This window comes from Homo sapiens, chromosome 12 (assembly GCF_000001405.40).
Source record: "Homo sapiens chromosome 12, GRCh38.p14 Primary Assembly".
Taxonomy (NCBI): Eukaryota; Metazoa; Chordata; class Mammalia; order Primates; family Hominidae; genus Homo; species Homo sapiens.
Window position 1 is genome coordinate 101023120 of NC_000012.12, and position 17322 is coordinate 101040441.

General features: G+C 39.3%; 1 protein-coding gene across 17 annotated transcripts in view; it reads left to right on the top strand.

The window, feature by feature from the left end:
* Positions 1-17322, top strand: part of ANO4 (anoctamin 4) — a 411381-nt gene that overhangs the window by 305859 nt on the left and 88200 nt on the right. For all 17 annotated transcript variants that reach the window (XM_011537912.3, XM_011537911.3, XM_047428302.1 and 14 more), the window contains 2 exons: positions 13976-14031; positions 16836-16957. In XM_011537912.3, the coding sequence (XP_011536214.2) occupies positions 13976-14031; positions 16836-16957 (178 nt within the window). The remainder of the gene's footprint in view (positions 1-13975; positions 14032-16835; positions 16958-17322) is intronic.

Sequence of the window (17322 nt, forward strand, 5' to 3'; positions counted from 1 at the left end):
AGCACAGTGCCTGGCATATAGTAGGAGTTCAATAAAGGCGTGCTGAACTGAAAAGCTTTTAAATTATTGTGCCTAATTTTGCGTCTCAAAATGTGGGATGCTTTTATAAGCAAAAGAAGGACAGAGACAGTGATTTTTAAATGTTCTGAAGAAGCACAGGAAGTGTAGTATTGTTGCTAGTCAGAAAGGGTCTTTATAAAAGTTTCTTTCATTTGATGAAATAAGGAGTTTTCTATTCAAAGACCTCCATGTGTTGAAAATTGGTAATAGGCCAGGCACATTGGCTCATGCCTGGAATCCCAGAACTTTGGGAGGCTGAGGCAGGAGGATTGCTTGAGCCCAAGAGTCTGAAACCAGCCTGAGCATAATGGTGAAACCCCATCTCTACAAAAAATACAAAAAGTTACCCAGGCGTGGTGGTCAGTACCTATAGTCCCAGCCATCAGGAGGCTGAGATGGGAGGATTACTTCTGGGAGGTCAAGGCGGCAGTGAGCTGAGATTGTGCCACTGCTCTCCAGCCTGGGCAACAGAACAGGAGTCTGTCACAACAAAGAAAAAGAAAATAATAAAAGAAAATTGGTAATGATGAACTGGAATCATATCTAATTAGAAATAACCAATCAGATAGTAAATTATTAAGCCACAACCAAGCATTATGCTGAAAAACATGGAGCAAAACTACTAATGGCCTGTAGATTCAATATTTCATTATCATCTTTGGTTTTGTAAATAAAAGAAATAATATGTTAGAAGAAATTTTAATTTCTTGATAGAACTAATGTTTATCCAGTATTATTTTCTGCCTGAAACTCTTTCTGAAAGTGGCATCTTGCATGAGCCAACATCGATTAGAAATAACATGAAAATACTGATTTGTAGACATGATTCATAAGGATATTTTAGTGGAATGTAAACTGCCACTATGTACATTTTTCAACTTCACTCTGAATTTATTTCAACTGTAAAAATCAAACCTGGTGAAACCCACTTTCAAAATAGAGCCATTTAATAGCTCAACAAAGATTTATTTAACAATGTGGGTGCATACAATAAATCTTGAAATTGATTTGTATTTTTGAATTTGGTGCTTAGAGGAGAAATTAGTAAAGTGAAAAAGATTTCAAATATTGGCTACTTTCTCACTTTGCAGGACTTTGATAAATTATGATAAACTTATAAAAGTTATCATCTGAGGCCAGGCACGGTGGCTCATGCCTATAATCCCAGCACTTTGGGAGGCCAAGGCAGGTGGATCAGTTGAGGTCAGGAGTTCGAGATCAGCCTGACCAACGTGGTAAAACTCCATCTCTACTAAAAATACAAAAATTAGCTGAGCATGGTGGCACTCACCTGTAATCCCAGCTACTTGGGAAGCTGAGGCACGAGAATTGCTTGAACCCGGGAGGCAGAGGTTGCAGTGAGCCGAGATCGCACCACTGCATTCCAGCCTGGGCAACAGAGTGAGACTCTGTCTCAAAAAAAAAAAAAGTTATCATGTGAGTCTCTTATTAGGTCCTTATGAATCCTATTTTTTCTAACATCTGGGATGTTTGAAAGTTATTGATGAGATATGTAGAATTCCCAATAGAGACTCCAGGGAATCAAAGCTTTCTACATAGTAATTCATTACAAAGGTATTTATTGAGGGCCTCTGGTGCGCTAGACAAACTATAAAGCCTTGTGATATTTGGATTTCAAATGTTTTTCTTAGATATTTAGTATTAATGTGAAGCATCTTAAAACATATTAATGTGTTACTATGATTAAAAGCATCTAAATATTGATTGATCCTCCATCAATGAAAAGTGAATCAGTGCATGTGCCATTTTCCAGTTAGGCTAAACCTCTAGATTCTGGTAAGGATCTAAAGCATAGGTAGCATTCCTCTCAAGCCACTTGAGAAATTATGATAATCTCCTTTGAGGTGTATTTTAGGAAGTAGCAGAAATCTTGATCTGAAAGGAGCTTTAAAGATCAACATGTTAAACTTCCACTTCTGGCCAAGATGGAGCAACAGGCACAAGATTTACTCTCCCACCTGAAACAATCACAAAAGAAAAAACAGACAAAATGTATGAAACAACTATTTTCAAGACACTGAATATTGGGCAACCCAAAACAAGGATCTCTGAGAGACAGAAAACAAATGAAATGAGCCCTGCTGGGCCCTATCTTACCACCTTGACATAGTTTCTAGACAGCACCATGAAAAGTGAGAATGTAGGCAGGACCTGAAAGACTCTCTAAGTTGAGAAGTTGTTGCTAGGAGTTGGGAAACAAAGGCAGCGAGAGTTCACAGAAAGAAGTACCGGAAGGCAGCGAGAGTTCACAGAAGGAAGTACCAGAAAGCAGAGAACTGCACAGGGCTAGAACCTTGAAGATCTGTAGAGGGTCTCCCTCAAGTATTCAGCAAGTGCTGATCAGTGCATACATGTCCGGAGAATACCCAAGGCCAGAGAAAGAACCATCCAAAAGAATTTCCAGTAAGACTGGAACACCTCATAATTCACAGAGCAGTGAGGAGAATACTCAGAAAAGTCTTTCCTCCTGCAAACATAAAGAAAATTTAGCAAATAAAGTTTAACAATGTATAACAAGGGTAATACATCATGACCAAGTAGAATTTATCCTGGACTGCAAGGTTGGCTTAGTATATGAAAATCAATCAATATAATTCACCATAGTAGCAAACTAAAAAAGAAAAACCATATGTTCATATTTATGAACATGGGAAAAGCATTTCACAAAGTTCAACATCCATTACAGATAAAAACTCAGCAAACTACTAATAGAAATTATCTTCCTCAACCTCATAAAATACATCTATGAAATGCTTATAGTTAAAATTATGCTTAATGATAAAAGACTGAATATTTTCCTCCCAAGATAATGAACGGGACAAGTATGTCTGCACTTGCCACTTGTATTCATTTTACTATCCAGTGCAATAAAATAAAAAGAATTAAAACTGTCCTAATTATCAGATGACATGATCACCTATAAAGAAACTCACAATGGAATCCATTAAAAGGGACTAATAGGTGAATGTAGCTAGGTTGCAAAAAATGAGATTGATATAAAAACTCAATTGTATTTCTCTCAATCTGCAACAAACAGTGAGAAACTGAGATTTTAAAAACCAAATCACTTATAATTAGCCCCCAAATATGAAATATTAAATACTTAAGGATAAATCAAACAAAAGATACTTAAGAATTGTACACTGAAAACTACAAAACATTGCTGAGATAAATTTAAGAAGACCCAATAAATGGAGACATATACTATGTTTATGAGTCAGAAGACTCAATATTGTTAAGAGGTCAGTCTTAACAAATTGATCTATAGATTCAGCACAATCCAGTCAAATTCCCAGAAGGTGTTTTGTGTGTGTATATGTGAAAATTGACAAATGAATTCAAAAATTCATAGGGAAATGAAAGGACCTAGAATAGCCAAAACAACTCTGAAAAAGAACAAAAAGTCAAGTCTTTGACTTGAGACAAAGGGTCGAAGTCAATTCAGTGGGTAAAGAATTGACTTTTCAACATATGATACTGAATTCAAACCCATATGCAAAAAAATGAATTTAGGAAAACTCGTATACAAAAGTTAACTCAAATGGATTATAGTTCAAAGTGTAAAATTTAAAACCATAAAAATTCTAGGAGAAAATAGAAAATCTTTGTTACCTTGGGTTAACCAAGGGTTTCTTAAATAAAAGCATAATTCATAAAAGAAGAAAAAAATGGATAACCTAGACTTCAAAATTAAAACTTCCCTTTTCAAATGATGTTTTCAAGAGAATGAAAAGAAGGGTGGGGCCAAGATGGCTGACTAGAAACAGAAGTGATCAGAGGCTCCCATCAAAAAGAACCATCATTAATGTGTGAATCCTTCATTGGCAACCAAGGTATCTTCTCATCAGAACTGACTAGGTGGCTAGACTTGATCCACAGAGAGGAAGGAAGAGCAGTGTGGTGCGGCAGCCCGTCTGAGAGCCACACGGGGCAGGGGAGCCCCCACTCCCCAGCCAAGGGAGGCAGTGAGTGAGTGTGGTACCCAGCGTGGGAAACCGTGCTTTTTTCCATGGGACTGTGCAACCCACGGATTAGAAGATCCCACTCAGGAACCCACGCCACTGGGACCTAGAATGCCAACCCCAGAGCTGCACAGATTCTCAACAACCTCTCAGCTGGAATCTGCCTAACCCTGCAGAGCTCCTGCGGGGAGGGGTGACCAGTGCCACAGCTGCTGCTGCCTGCTGCCTAAGCCATTTGAGCTCCTTGGGGGAGGGGCAGCAGCCAGCACTGGGACTCATAACTGCCTGATAAGCTAAGCTCTCTGTGGGGGAAAGGATGGCATCCATCTCTATAACTCCAGGCCATGCTTTTCCCCTGCTGGAGCCAGGGAGGCTGGATGGCTTGGTCCCCAAGAGTGGTCCCCCACAGCTCAACACACTGGCTGTGGCAGACTGCAACAAGAGCGCCTCTTCAGGCACTGACATATCCTTCCTCACTTCCTATATGGTGGGGCTTCCCTACAGGAACTCCAATAACTCCAGCCAGAGACTCAGGGACAGAACCTGGATCTCCCTGGGCCTTATCCCCTAGTGGGAGGAGTGGCTGCAGTCTCTGCAGACCAGCAGACTTAGCCCAGAATGCCACCCAGCAAGGCACACTCCCTCCACCAAGAGACAGTGAAAATGCTTCATTAAATGGGTCCCATTTCCCTTGTCACCCAAATAGGTAAGACCTTCCAACAGGGGTTGTCAGATACCCTATACAGGAGTGATCCTACTGGCATCAGGTTGGAGCCCCTCCGGGTTAGAGATCCCAGAAGAAGGAGCAGGCACCCATCTTTGCCTTCTCCAGCCTGCTTGAGTGACATCTCCAGGTGCGGGAGCGAACCAGATAAATAGGGCCTAAAGTGAACCCCCAGCAAACCACAGCAGCCCTACAGAGGAGGGACCTGACCAGTGAAAGAAAAACAAACAGAAAGCAACAACAACAGCATCAATAACAAAAGAAGTCCTCACAAAAACCCCATCCAGTGGTCAGCTGCCTCAAAGATCGAAACTAGACAAACTCACAAAGATGAGAAAGAATCAATGAAAAAATGCTGAAAACCCAAAAGGACAGAGTTTCTCTTCCCCTCCAAATGATTGCAATGACTCTCTGGCAAGGGCATAATTGGGTGAAGGATGAGATGGACAAATTGACATAAGTAGGCTTCAGAAGATGGGTAACAAAAAACTCCACTGAGCTCTAGGAGCATGTTCTAACCCAATGCAAAGAAGCTAAGAACCTTGAAAAAAGGTTACAGGAGCTGATAACTAGAGAGAGTTTAGAGGGGAACATAAATGACCCGATGGAGCTGAAAAACACAGCACAAGAACTTTGTGAAGCATACACAAGTATCAGTAGCTGAATTGACCAAGAGGAAGAAAGGATATCAGAGTTTGAAGACCACCTCACTGAAATAAGGCATGCAGACAAGATTAGAGAAAAAAGAATAAAAAGGAACAAACAAAACCTCCAAGAAATATGGGACTTCATAAAAAGACCAAACCTACAATTGATTGGAGTACCACCTGAAGCAGACGTGAAGAATGGAAACAAACTGGAAAACAAACTTCAGGATATTATCCAGGAGAATTTCCCTAACCTAGGAAGACAGGCCAATATGCAAATTCAGAAAATACAGAGAACACCACTAAAGTACTCCACAAGAAGATCAACCCCAAGAAACATAATCATCAGATTGTCCAAGGCCAAAATTAAGGAAAAAGTGTTAAGGGCAGCCAGAGAGGAAGGTCAGGTCACCTGCAAAGAAAAGCCCATCAGACTAACAATGCACCTCTCAGCAGAAACTCCACAAGTCAGAAGAGATTGGGGGCCAGTATTCAACATTCTTAAAGAAAATAATTTTCAACACAGAATTTTATATCCAGCCAAACTAAGCATCATAAGCGAAAGAGAAATAAAATCCTTTCCAGACAAGCAAATGCTGAGGGATTTTGTTACCCCCACGCTGGCCTTGCAAGAGCTCCTGAAAGAAGCACTAAATATGCAAAGGAAAAACTGGTACTAGCCACTGCAAAAATACACCAAAATATAAAGACCAATGACACTATGAAGAAACTGCATCAACTAGTATGCAAAATAACCAGATAGCATCATGATGACAGGATCGAATTCACACATAACAATACTAACCTTACATGTAAATGGGCAAAATGCCCCAATTAAAAGACAGACAGGAAATTGGATAAAGACTAAAGACCCATTGGTGTGCTGTATTCAGGAGACCCATCTCATGTGCAAAGACCCCCATAGGCTCAAAATAAAGGATGGAGGAAAATTTACCAAGCAAATGGAAAGCAAAAAAAATGCAGGGGTTGCAAACCTCATCTCTGACAAAACAGACTTTAAACCAATGAAGATCAAAAAAGACAAGGTCATTAAATAATGATAAAGAGAACAATTCAACAAGAAGAACTAACTGTTGGCTGGGCATGGTGGCTCAAACCTATAATCCCAGCACTTTGGGAGGATGAGGTGGGTGGATCACGAGGTCAGGAAATCAAGACCATCCTGGCCAACATGGTGAAACCCCATCTCTACTAAAAATACAAAAATTAGCTGGGTATGGTGGCATGTCCCTGTAATCCCAGCTACTCGGGAGGCTGAGGCAGGAGAATTGCTTGAGCCCGGGAGACAGAGATTGCAGTGAGCCTAGATCACACCACTGAACTCCAACCTCGTGAAAGAGCAAGTCTCCGTCTAAAAAAAAAAAAAAAGAGCTAACTATTCTAAATTTATATGCACCCAATACAGAAGCACCCAGATTCATAAAACAAGTTCTTAGAGACCTACAAAGAGACTTAGACTCCCATACAATAATAGTGGGAGACTTTAACACTCCACCATCAATATTAGACAGATCAACAAGGCAGAAAATTAACAAGGATATTCAGGACTTGAACTCAGCTCTGGATCAAGTGGACCTAATAGACATCTACAGAACTCTCCACCCCAAATCAATAGAATATACATTCTCAGTGCTACATGGCACTTATTCTAAAATTGACCACATAATTGGAAGTAAAACACTCCTCAGCAAATGCAAAAAAACTGAAATGATAACAAACAGTCTCTCAGACTACAGTGCAATCAAATTAGAACTCAGGATTAAGAAACTTATTAAAAACCACACAATTACATGGAAATTGAACAACTCGCTCCTGAATGACTCCTGGTTAAATAATGAAATTAAGGCAGAAATAAAGAAGTTCTTTGAAACCAATGAGAACAAAGAGACAACATACCAGAATCTCTGGGATACAGCTAAAGCAGTGTTAAGAGGGAAATGTATAGCACTAAATTGCCCACATCAGAAAGCTAGAAAGATCTCAAATTGATACACTAACATCACAATTAAAAGAGCTAGAGAGGCAAGAGCAAACTAATCCAAAAGCTAGCAGGAGACAAGCAATAACTAAGATCAGAGCAAAATTGAAGGAGATAGAGACACAAAAACCCTCCAAAACCAGGAACTGTTTTTTTGAAAAAAATAAGAAATACCACTAGCTAGACTAATAAAGAAGAAAAGAGAGAAGAATCCCATAAAAAATGATAAAGGGGAGATCACCACTGACCTCACAGAAATACAAACTACTAACACCTCTATGCAAATAAACTAGAAAATCTAGAAGAAATGGATAAATTCCTGGACGCAGACACTCTCCCAAGGCTCAACCAGGAAGAAGTTGAATCCCTGAATAGACCAGTAACAAGTTCTGAAATTGAGGCAGTAATTAGTAGCCTACCCACCAAAAAAAGCCCAGGACCAGACAGGTTCACAGCCGAATTCTACCAGAGGTACAAAGAGAAGCTGGTACCATTCCTTCTGAAACTATTCCAAACAATAGAAAAAGAGGGACTCCTCCCTAACTCATTTTATGAGGCCAGATCATCCTGATACCAAAACCTAGCAGAGACACAACAAAAAATAGAGAATTTCAGGCCAATATTCCTGATGAATATCGATGCGAAAATCCTCAATAAAATACTGGCAAACCGAATACAGCAGCACATCAAAAAGCTTAGCCACCACAATCAAGTCAGCTTCACACCTGGGATGCAAGGCTGGTTCAACATACATAAATCAATAAATGTAATCCCTCACATAAACGGAACCAAAGACAAAAAGCACGTGATTATCTCAATAGATGCAGAAAAGGCCTTCAATAAAATTCAACAGCCCTTCATGCTAAAAACTCTCAATAAACTAGGTGTCGATTGAACATATCTCAAAATAATAAAAACTATGACAAACCCACAGCCAATATTATATTGAATGGGCAAAAGCTGGAAACATTCCCTTTGAAAACCAGTACAAGACAAGGATGCCCTCTCTCACCACTCTTACTCATCATAGTATTGGAAGTTCTGGCCAGGACAATCAGGCAAGAGAAAGAAATAAAGTGTATTCAAATAGGAAGAGTAGAAGTCAAACTCTCTCTGTTTGCAGATGACATGATTGTATATATAGAAAACTCCATGATCTCAGCCAAAAATTTCCTTAAGCTGACAAGCAACTTCAGCAAAGTCTCAGGATACAAAATGAATGTGAAAAAATCACAGGCATTCCTTTACATCAACAGTAGACAAGCAGAGAGCCAAATCATGAATTAATTCCCACTCACAATCACTACAAAGAGAATAAAATGCCTAGGAATACAGCTAACAAGGGATGTGAAAGACTTCTTCAAGGATAACTACAAACCACTGCTCAAGGAAATCAGAGAGGACACAAACAAATGGAAAAACATTCCATCCTCATGGACAGGAAAAATCAATATTGTAAAAATGTTCATACTGCCCAAAGTAATTTATAGATTCAATGCTATTCCCATCAAACTACCATTGACATTCTTCACAGAATTAGAAAAAGCTACTTTAAATTTCATATGGAATCAAAGAAGACCGCATACAGCCAAGACAATCGTAACCAAAAAGAACAAGCTGGAGGCATCATGCTACCTGACTTCAAACTATACTACAAGGCTGCAGTAACCAAAACAGCATGATAATGGTACCAAAACAGACACATAGACCAATGGAACAGAACAGAGACCTCAGAAATAACACCACACATCTACAACCATCCGATCTTCAGCAAACCTGACAGAAACAAGCAATGGGGAAAGGATCTCCTATTCAATAAATGGTGCTGGGAAAACGGGCTAGCCATATGCAGAAAATTGAAACTGGACCGCTTGCTTACGTCTTATACAAAAATTAACTCAAAGCAATGGCAACAAAAGCCACAATTAAAAAATGGGATCTAATTAAACTAAAGAGCTTCTGCACAGCAAAAGAAACTACCATCAGAGTGAACAGGCAACCCACAAAGTGGGAGAAAATTTTCTCAACCTACTCATCTGACAGAGGGCTAATATCCAGAATCTACAATGAACTCAAACAAATTTACAAGGAAAAAACAAACAACCCCATCAAAAAGTGGGTGAAGGACATGAACAGACACTTCTCAAAAGAAGACATTTATGCAGCCAAAAAACACATGAAAAAATGCTCACCATCACTGGCCATCAGAGAAATGCAAATCAAAACCACAATGAGATATCATCTCACACCAGTTAGAATGGCAATCATTAAAAAGTCAGGAAACAACAGGTGCTGGAGAGGATGTGGAGAAATAGGAACACTTTTACACTGTTGGTGGGACTGTAAACTAGTTCAACCCTTGTGGAAGTCAGTGTGGCGATTCCTCAGGGATCTAGAACTAGAAATACCATTTGACCCAGCCATCCCATTACTGGGTATATACCCAAAGGACTATAAATCATGCTGCTATAAGACACATGCACACGTATGTTTATTGCGGCACTATTCACAATAGCAAAGACTTGGAACCAACCTAAATGTCCAACAGTGGTAGACTGGGTTAAGAAAATGTGGCACATATACACCATGGAATACTATGCAGCCATAAAAAATGATGAGTTCATGTCCTTTGTAGGGACATGAATGAAATTGGAAATCATCATTCTCAGTAAACTATCGCAAGAACAAAAAACCAAACACCGCATATTCTCACTCATAGGTGGGAATTGAACAATGAGAACACATGGACTCAGGAAGGGGAACATCACACTCTGGGGACTGTTGTGGGGTGGGGGAAGGGGGGAGGGATAGCATTGGGAGATACACCTAATGCTAGATGACGAGCTAGTGGGTGCAGCACACCAGCATGTCACATGTATATATATGTAACTGACCTGCACAATGTGCACATGTACCCTAAAACTTAAAGTATAATAATAATAATAATAAAAATTAACTCAAGATGGATTAAAGACTTAAATGTAAAACCCCAAACCATAAAAACCCTAGAAGAAAACCTAGGCAATACCATTCAGGACATAGGCATGGGCAAAGTCTTCATGACAAAAACGCCAAAAGCAATTGCAAGAAAAGCCAAAACTGACAAATGAGTTCTAATTAAACTAAAGAGCTTCTGCACAGCAAAAGAAACTATCATCAGAGTGAACAGACAATCTACAGAGCGGGAGAAATTTTTTGCAATCTAGCCATCTGACAGAAATCGAATATCCAGAATTTACAAGCAACTTAAAGAAATTTACAAGAGAAAAAACAACCCCATGAAAAAGTGGGCAAAGGATATAAACAGAGACTTCTCAAAAGAAGACATACATGCAGCCAACAAACATATGAAGAAAGCTCAACATCACTGATTATTAGAGAAATGCAAATCAAAACCGTAATGAGATACCATCTAACACCAGTCAGAATGGCGATTATTTAAAAGTCAAGAAACAATAGATGCTGGTGAGGCTGTGGAGAAATAGGAACACTTTTACACTGTTCTTGGGAGTGTAAATTACCCCAGCCATTGTGGAAGACAGTGTGGGGATTCCTCAAGTATCTAGAACCAGAAATACCATTTGACCCAGCAATCCCATTACTGGGTGTATACCTAAAGGAATATAAAGCATTCTACTGTAAAGACACATGCACACATATGTTTACTGCAGCACTGTTCACAATAGCAAAGTTGTGGAACCTACTCAAATGCCCATCAATGATAGAGTGGATAAAGAAAATGTGGTACATATCCACTATGGAATATTATACATCCATAAAAAGGAATGAGATTATGTCCTATGCAGGGACATGTATGAAGCTGGATACCATCATCCTCAGCAAACTAAGACAGGAACAGAAAACCAAACACTGCATGCCCTCACTCATAAGCAGGAATTGAACAATGAGAACCTATGGACACAGGGATGGAAACAACACACAATAGGCCTGTTGGGGAGTAGGAGGGTGAGGGGATGGAAGTTAGAGGACAGGTCAATAGGAGCAGCAAACCACCATGGCACACGTATACCTATGTAACAAACCTGCACATCTGCACATGTATCCCAAAACTTAAATACATAAATAGAATGATAAGAGAAGCCACACATTAGGAGAAAAAAGTTTTCAAAAAATATGGCTAGTAAAGGACATCTATATCTTGCCTCTAGAATACATAAAGAACACTCAAAACTCAGTGAATCCAAAAATCTTATTGAGCATAAGATATGAACAGACATTTCACAAGAGAAGATATACAGATGGCAAACAGCACACAAGATGATTTTAAATATTATTCATTAAAAAATGAGAATTAAACACGATGAGATATCACAACACACCCATGAGAGTGGCTAAAATTTAAAAGACTGACCATACCATGTGGAGGACCTTGAACTCTCATATGCTGCTGATGGAAATGTAAAATTGTACAACCACTTAAGAAAACAGTGTGGCAGTTTTTCAAAAAGTTAAATGTTCATCTACTATATGATCTAGTGGAATCACTTCTAGGTATTTGCTAAGAAAGTTAAAGCATATATTGATGCAAAGTTTTGTATATGGATGTTCATAACAGCTTAATTTGTAATAGCCCCCAAACTATAAAGGACCCAAATGTCTATCATCAGGAGAATAGATAAACAAATTATTACATGTGATGGAATACTACTCAGCAATAAAAAGAAATGAGCTACTGATATTTGCAACAACATGAATGAATCTCAAATTATGTTGAGTGATGAAAAAGAGTAAATGTTATATGATTCCATTTATATAAAACTCTGGAAATTTCAAACTAATTGATAGTGACAGAAAGCAGATCAGTGTTTGCCCTGGAGATAGCACGGGGAAGGGTGGCAGATTAGAATGTGGCATGATAAAACTTTGGAGGCAATGGATATGTTTAGATTCTTAGTCGTACTGATGGTCTTATGAGTATATACTTATGTCGAAACATCTAATTAAACAACTTATGCTGTCTATTGTATGATTGTTATACCTCAGTAAAGCTGTTTTTAAAAAGATCTGCGCATCCCTTCCCATTTTATGGATGAGGAAATTGAGTCCTGAGGACAAGAGAACTTTTCCAAAGTCATACCACTAGTCCAATGCAGAGGCATTAGGTTTGTCCATAATGAAGCTTCTGAATGAAAATAGAAGAGCTCCTGGTGTAATTCCAGGGAGCTGAAGGCCATTATCCTAGGTGAATTAATGCAGTAATAGAAAAACCAAACACCACATGTTCTCACTTATAAGTGGGAGTTAAACATTGAGTACACATGGACAAAGAAGGGAACAGGAGACACTGGGGCCTACTTGAGGGTGGAGGGTGAGAGGAGGATGAGGATTGGAAAACTACCTGTCAGTACTATGCTCATTACCTGGGTGACATAATAATTACACCAAATCCCCCAACACACAATTTACCCATGTCACAAACCTGCACGTGTACTCCCTGAACCTAAAATAAAAGTTAGAAGGAAAAAAATGTTAAAAGTTAAAATGGGCAGAGAAACTGAATAGACATTTTTCCATATAAAACACACAAATGGCCAACAGGTATATGAAAAGGTGCTCAATATCACTAATCATCAGAGATATGCAAATCAAAACCACGGTGAAGTATCATCTCACACCCGTTAGAATGGCTCTTATCAAAAAGTGGTAAGTGTTGGCAAGTGTGTGGAGAAAAGGAAACACTTGTGCGCTGTTAGTAGGAATGTAAATTGGTTCAGCTGTGATGAAAAACAATATAGAGGTTCTTTAAAAAATAAAAAATGAACTACCGTATGATACAGCAATCCTACTTTTGGGTACATATCCCAAGGAATTGAAATCAGTATCTTGAAGAGATATCTGCACGTCCATGTTCATTGCAGCATTATTTACAATAGCCAAGATATGAAAACAACCCAAGTGTCCCCTGATGGAAGAATGGATAAAGGAATTGTGGTACATATATACAATGGAATATTGTTCAACCATAAAAAAGAAGAAAATCCTGCCATTTGCAACATGGATGAACTTGGAAGGCATCATGCTAGGTGAAATAAACCAGACACAGAAAGACAAATACTGCATGATCTCACTTATGTGTAGAATCTTAAAAAGCCAAACTCTTAGAAACAGAGAGTAGAATAGTGGTTGCCAGGCCCTGGGGATGGGGAACATGGGGAGGTGTTGATCAAAGAGTATAAAGTTTCATTTATAAAATGAATGAGTTCTGGGGATCTAATGTACAGCATGGGTGGAGATAGATGTGTTAATTAATGTGATTGTGGTAATCATTACATAATGTATATGCATATCAAGTCATCACATTATAAACTTTGAATAGATTCGATCTTTATTTGACGGTCAAATATTTTAATTTTTTTAGTGAATTTCCCAGCCCTTGATCCCAATTTCACGGCAGCAGAGCTTTTTTTCTAACTCTTGGTGCCCCTAAGAGGGTTGATAGCCTAGATTGTTTCCTCCAAAAAGCACCACACTTATATTTGTTTTGAACATTGTGAGTATTCAAACTCTGTATTAATTCAAATGGACTTATTTGCTGTTTTAGGTCTGAATCGTTTGCTTACCAATGGCTCCTATGAAGCTGCGTTTCCCCTGCATGAGGTATTGTGCTGTCTTTAATCTTTATCTTTCTTTCAATCGTTTGTTACTAAAGTCAGCTTCTAGAGATAGTCAATAATTGAATTTGTTGACATTTGCTCAGAATGAATTTAATTTGTTCAATGGGTAATTAGGGAGGGTCTACTTCAATTGTTATATCTCTTCCTCAGCATAGACTTATTTCTATATATCTTTTCATGTAATTGCGAGAATACTTAAATCAATAGTCATGCAGCATGAATTCATAGGAATGGCTTAGAGACTTTAAGTCTTAAAATTAAAAAGGCATTGACAATTTGCATGAGGCACCAAATCCACAAGAAGAATGTTCTTGAAATATATAGTCTTTGCAACAAATAAATGTATAGCTATTGCTTAAAAGAGTGGGAGGAAGCCATCTTGAAAAGTCTCTGGTAACCAACGGGTGACAAATAAAAATTAATAATGTTGTACTCATCATTGTTCACCTAAGATGTATAAATACTGTGACTCTATTTCCTACATAGTCTCCATCATATAAATTACTTTCGCAAGTGTAACTGATTACCCCAGCTCTACTTTCCACAGAATTATTTAATCCAGAATTCCCCTACACCTGGGTTTTTAGGAACATAATCCCTCATGATTATTGAGAAATTATTGTCATTTTCATGGTGTGGCACCCCTACTGTGGTCACTATATGGCACAGAGAATACAAAGATAAATGTCATAGCCTCTGTCCTCTGGGACCTCACAAAGTAGCCAATGTGCAGCAACTGTTAGCTGATGTTCAGTACAGCCTGTTGGAAACAATGGTAATAATTTGTCAATAGACTTTGGAAGACGGTTCCAACTCTCCGTAAATGGCAAGTCTTTCCAAAACATACTTTTTTTTGGCTTACAGTGGTACTTCTCTTAATTTTAAACACTAAGAGGGTGCAAAAGATGAGGTAGATTTTTCAGAACTTTATTTATTAAGAAAACCAGAAGCTGCCATCTGAAACTCTGTTTAGACTGCCAGGAAATGTGTTTGGAATGCTCCATTTACTATGACAGAAGCAAACATTTTGACACAAAGGTTTGCTAGAGCCATACGCAGGTGTTTCTGAACTCTAAAGACATACTGTTCCCCAAAACATCATGTGGCTTCATCATGTCATTGTTAGTTGGCATTGCCCAGAAAAGGGTTTTGTGAGAACTGCATCCTCCCTGCTCTCAGCCCCAGCTCATGGTATGGGCTGTGTCTGATATGGTAAGTGGCAGAAGCGTCTGTGCAGGGGAGTGGGTGGGTGGGCATGGGAGTGTCTGAGGAGATGCAGCTACAAAGCCCCACAGAGTGACTCATGCCTTTCACAATGACTTTCCTATCTCAGTAAAGCCCTGTATTCTATGAGAAGTTCCAAATTGGTAATAGCAGCAGCAATCATTGCATCATTGCTTTTCTGACTTTTTACTCTCAGTTTAACTTGATTATATTATTTAACCTCAGAGGCAAAAAGGCAGAAGGTCAGATATTGCTGCTCTTGTTTCACGTTAAAGATTTAGATAGAGGTTTAGAGAAAGGTGAAACCTCCTTAAGTCACACAATGAGTTGGTGGTTGATCTGAGACTCACCTGAGTTTCTTTCTCCTAGCCCTGTGTTCTTTCCATTAAGAAAGGACTTCTTATCAGGTGTGGTGGCTCAGGCCTGTAACCCCAGCACTTTGGGAGGCCAAGGTGGAAGTATTGCTTGAGTTCAGGAGTTCGAGACCAGCCTGGGCAACATATTGAGACATTGTCTCTAGCAAAAATAAATAAATAAATAAATAAGAAAGGGCTTCTCCACTTAATATGAATAATTAGCTTGCCTCCAGAAAGTACCGTTTCTCTTTGTGAAACTATCATTGCCACAAACTAACCTCAGAAAAACATGCACTTCTCTGGCCCTTTGTCTCCTCACTTCTTCAATGAGGAGGTTGAATTAAATTTGAATTACAAGAATTCTGAAGTGACTTCCAGCTTTTACATTCTAGAATTTTCTTGTCGATAACATTGTGACAAGGTTACAACTATGGCTGTTTACCAACTATCCTATCTTGAAAGAAGTGGGAAGAGAGGCCAGGCACAGTGGCTCACACCTGTAATCCCAGCACATTGGGAGGCCGAGGGGGACAGATCGCTTGAGTCTAGGAATTCGAGACTAGCCTGGGCAATATGGCAAAACCCCATCTCTACAAAAAATACAAAAGTTAGCCGTGCATGGTGGCACATGCCTATGGTCCCAGCTACTTGGGAGGCTGAGGTGGGAGGATTGCTTGAGCCTGGGAGTCGGAGGTTGCAGTGAGCTGAGATTGCGCCACTGCACTCCAGCCTGGGCAACAGAGTGAAACCCAGTCTCAAAAAATAAACAAATAAATAAATAAAAAGAAGTAGGGAAGAGAACTAATAAGCCTTGGGCATGGCCCCTGGGCCAGACACTTTATTCATTCAAACCACATAAGAAACCAAATGGGACAAATATTAGTTCCACTATGGATTAGGAAACCAAAGCTCAGAGCATTTAGGGAACTTGCCCAGGATCTTCTAGCTGAAAAGTAGCAGAATTGAATTTGAACTCAGTTCAAACCTTCCTGATTATAGCAAGCACGTGCATTTTACTAGATATCAGCAGTAGCAAGACAATGTCCAGAATAACTCATCAAACTGCCTGCCCTTTAATAGAGAGGATTCATTTCTTTCTCATACCACTCCTATCACAACACCTGCTGTAAGACACTTACATTACCATCAGCATTTCCTTGTGACTTTTGTGAGTACTACCTCACTGGCAGTGGTGTTTTTATCCCAGGGAAGTTATAGAAGTAAAAACTCCATTCGAACCCATGGAGCAGAAAACCACCGACATCTACTCTATGAGTGCTGGGCCTCCTGGGGCGTGTGGTATAAATACCAACCTTTGGATCTTGTAAGGTGAGTTTTTAATCAGCTGCAAATATAAAGCTTGCACAGAATGATTAGGGCAGACTGTCAGCTGGGACAAGCTCCCAATGAAGCAAAAAGAGCCTGAAGTGTACAGCTCTCACTCATATCTGGCTTCTTCACAAGAGGAAACTCATCTGAGGACATCAGCTGTTCTTGGTAAACCTACCATCGCTCTGATGAGGATGGAATTTCCCCCAAAAAGAGTCTTAGAGAGGGGCCCAGGAATGGGCATGTGAGATCAGCCAGGCCTGTCACAAGACTTCGTAAGAAGCGAGTCACCCATGTGAGTCTTATTGACAAACCATCTTGTACAAAGGTAACACTGCTTACATATATTACTGACAAAGTAAAAT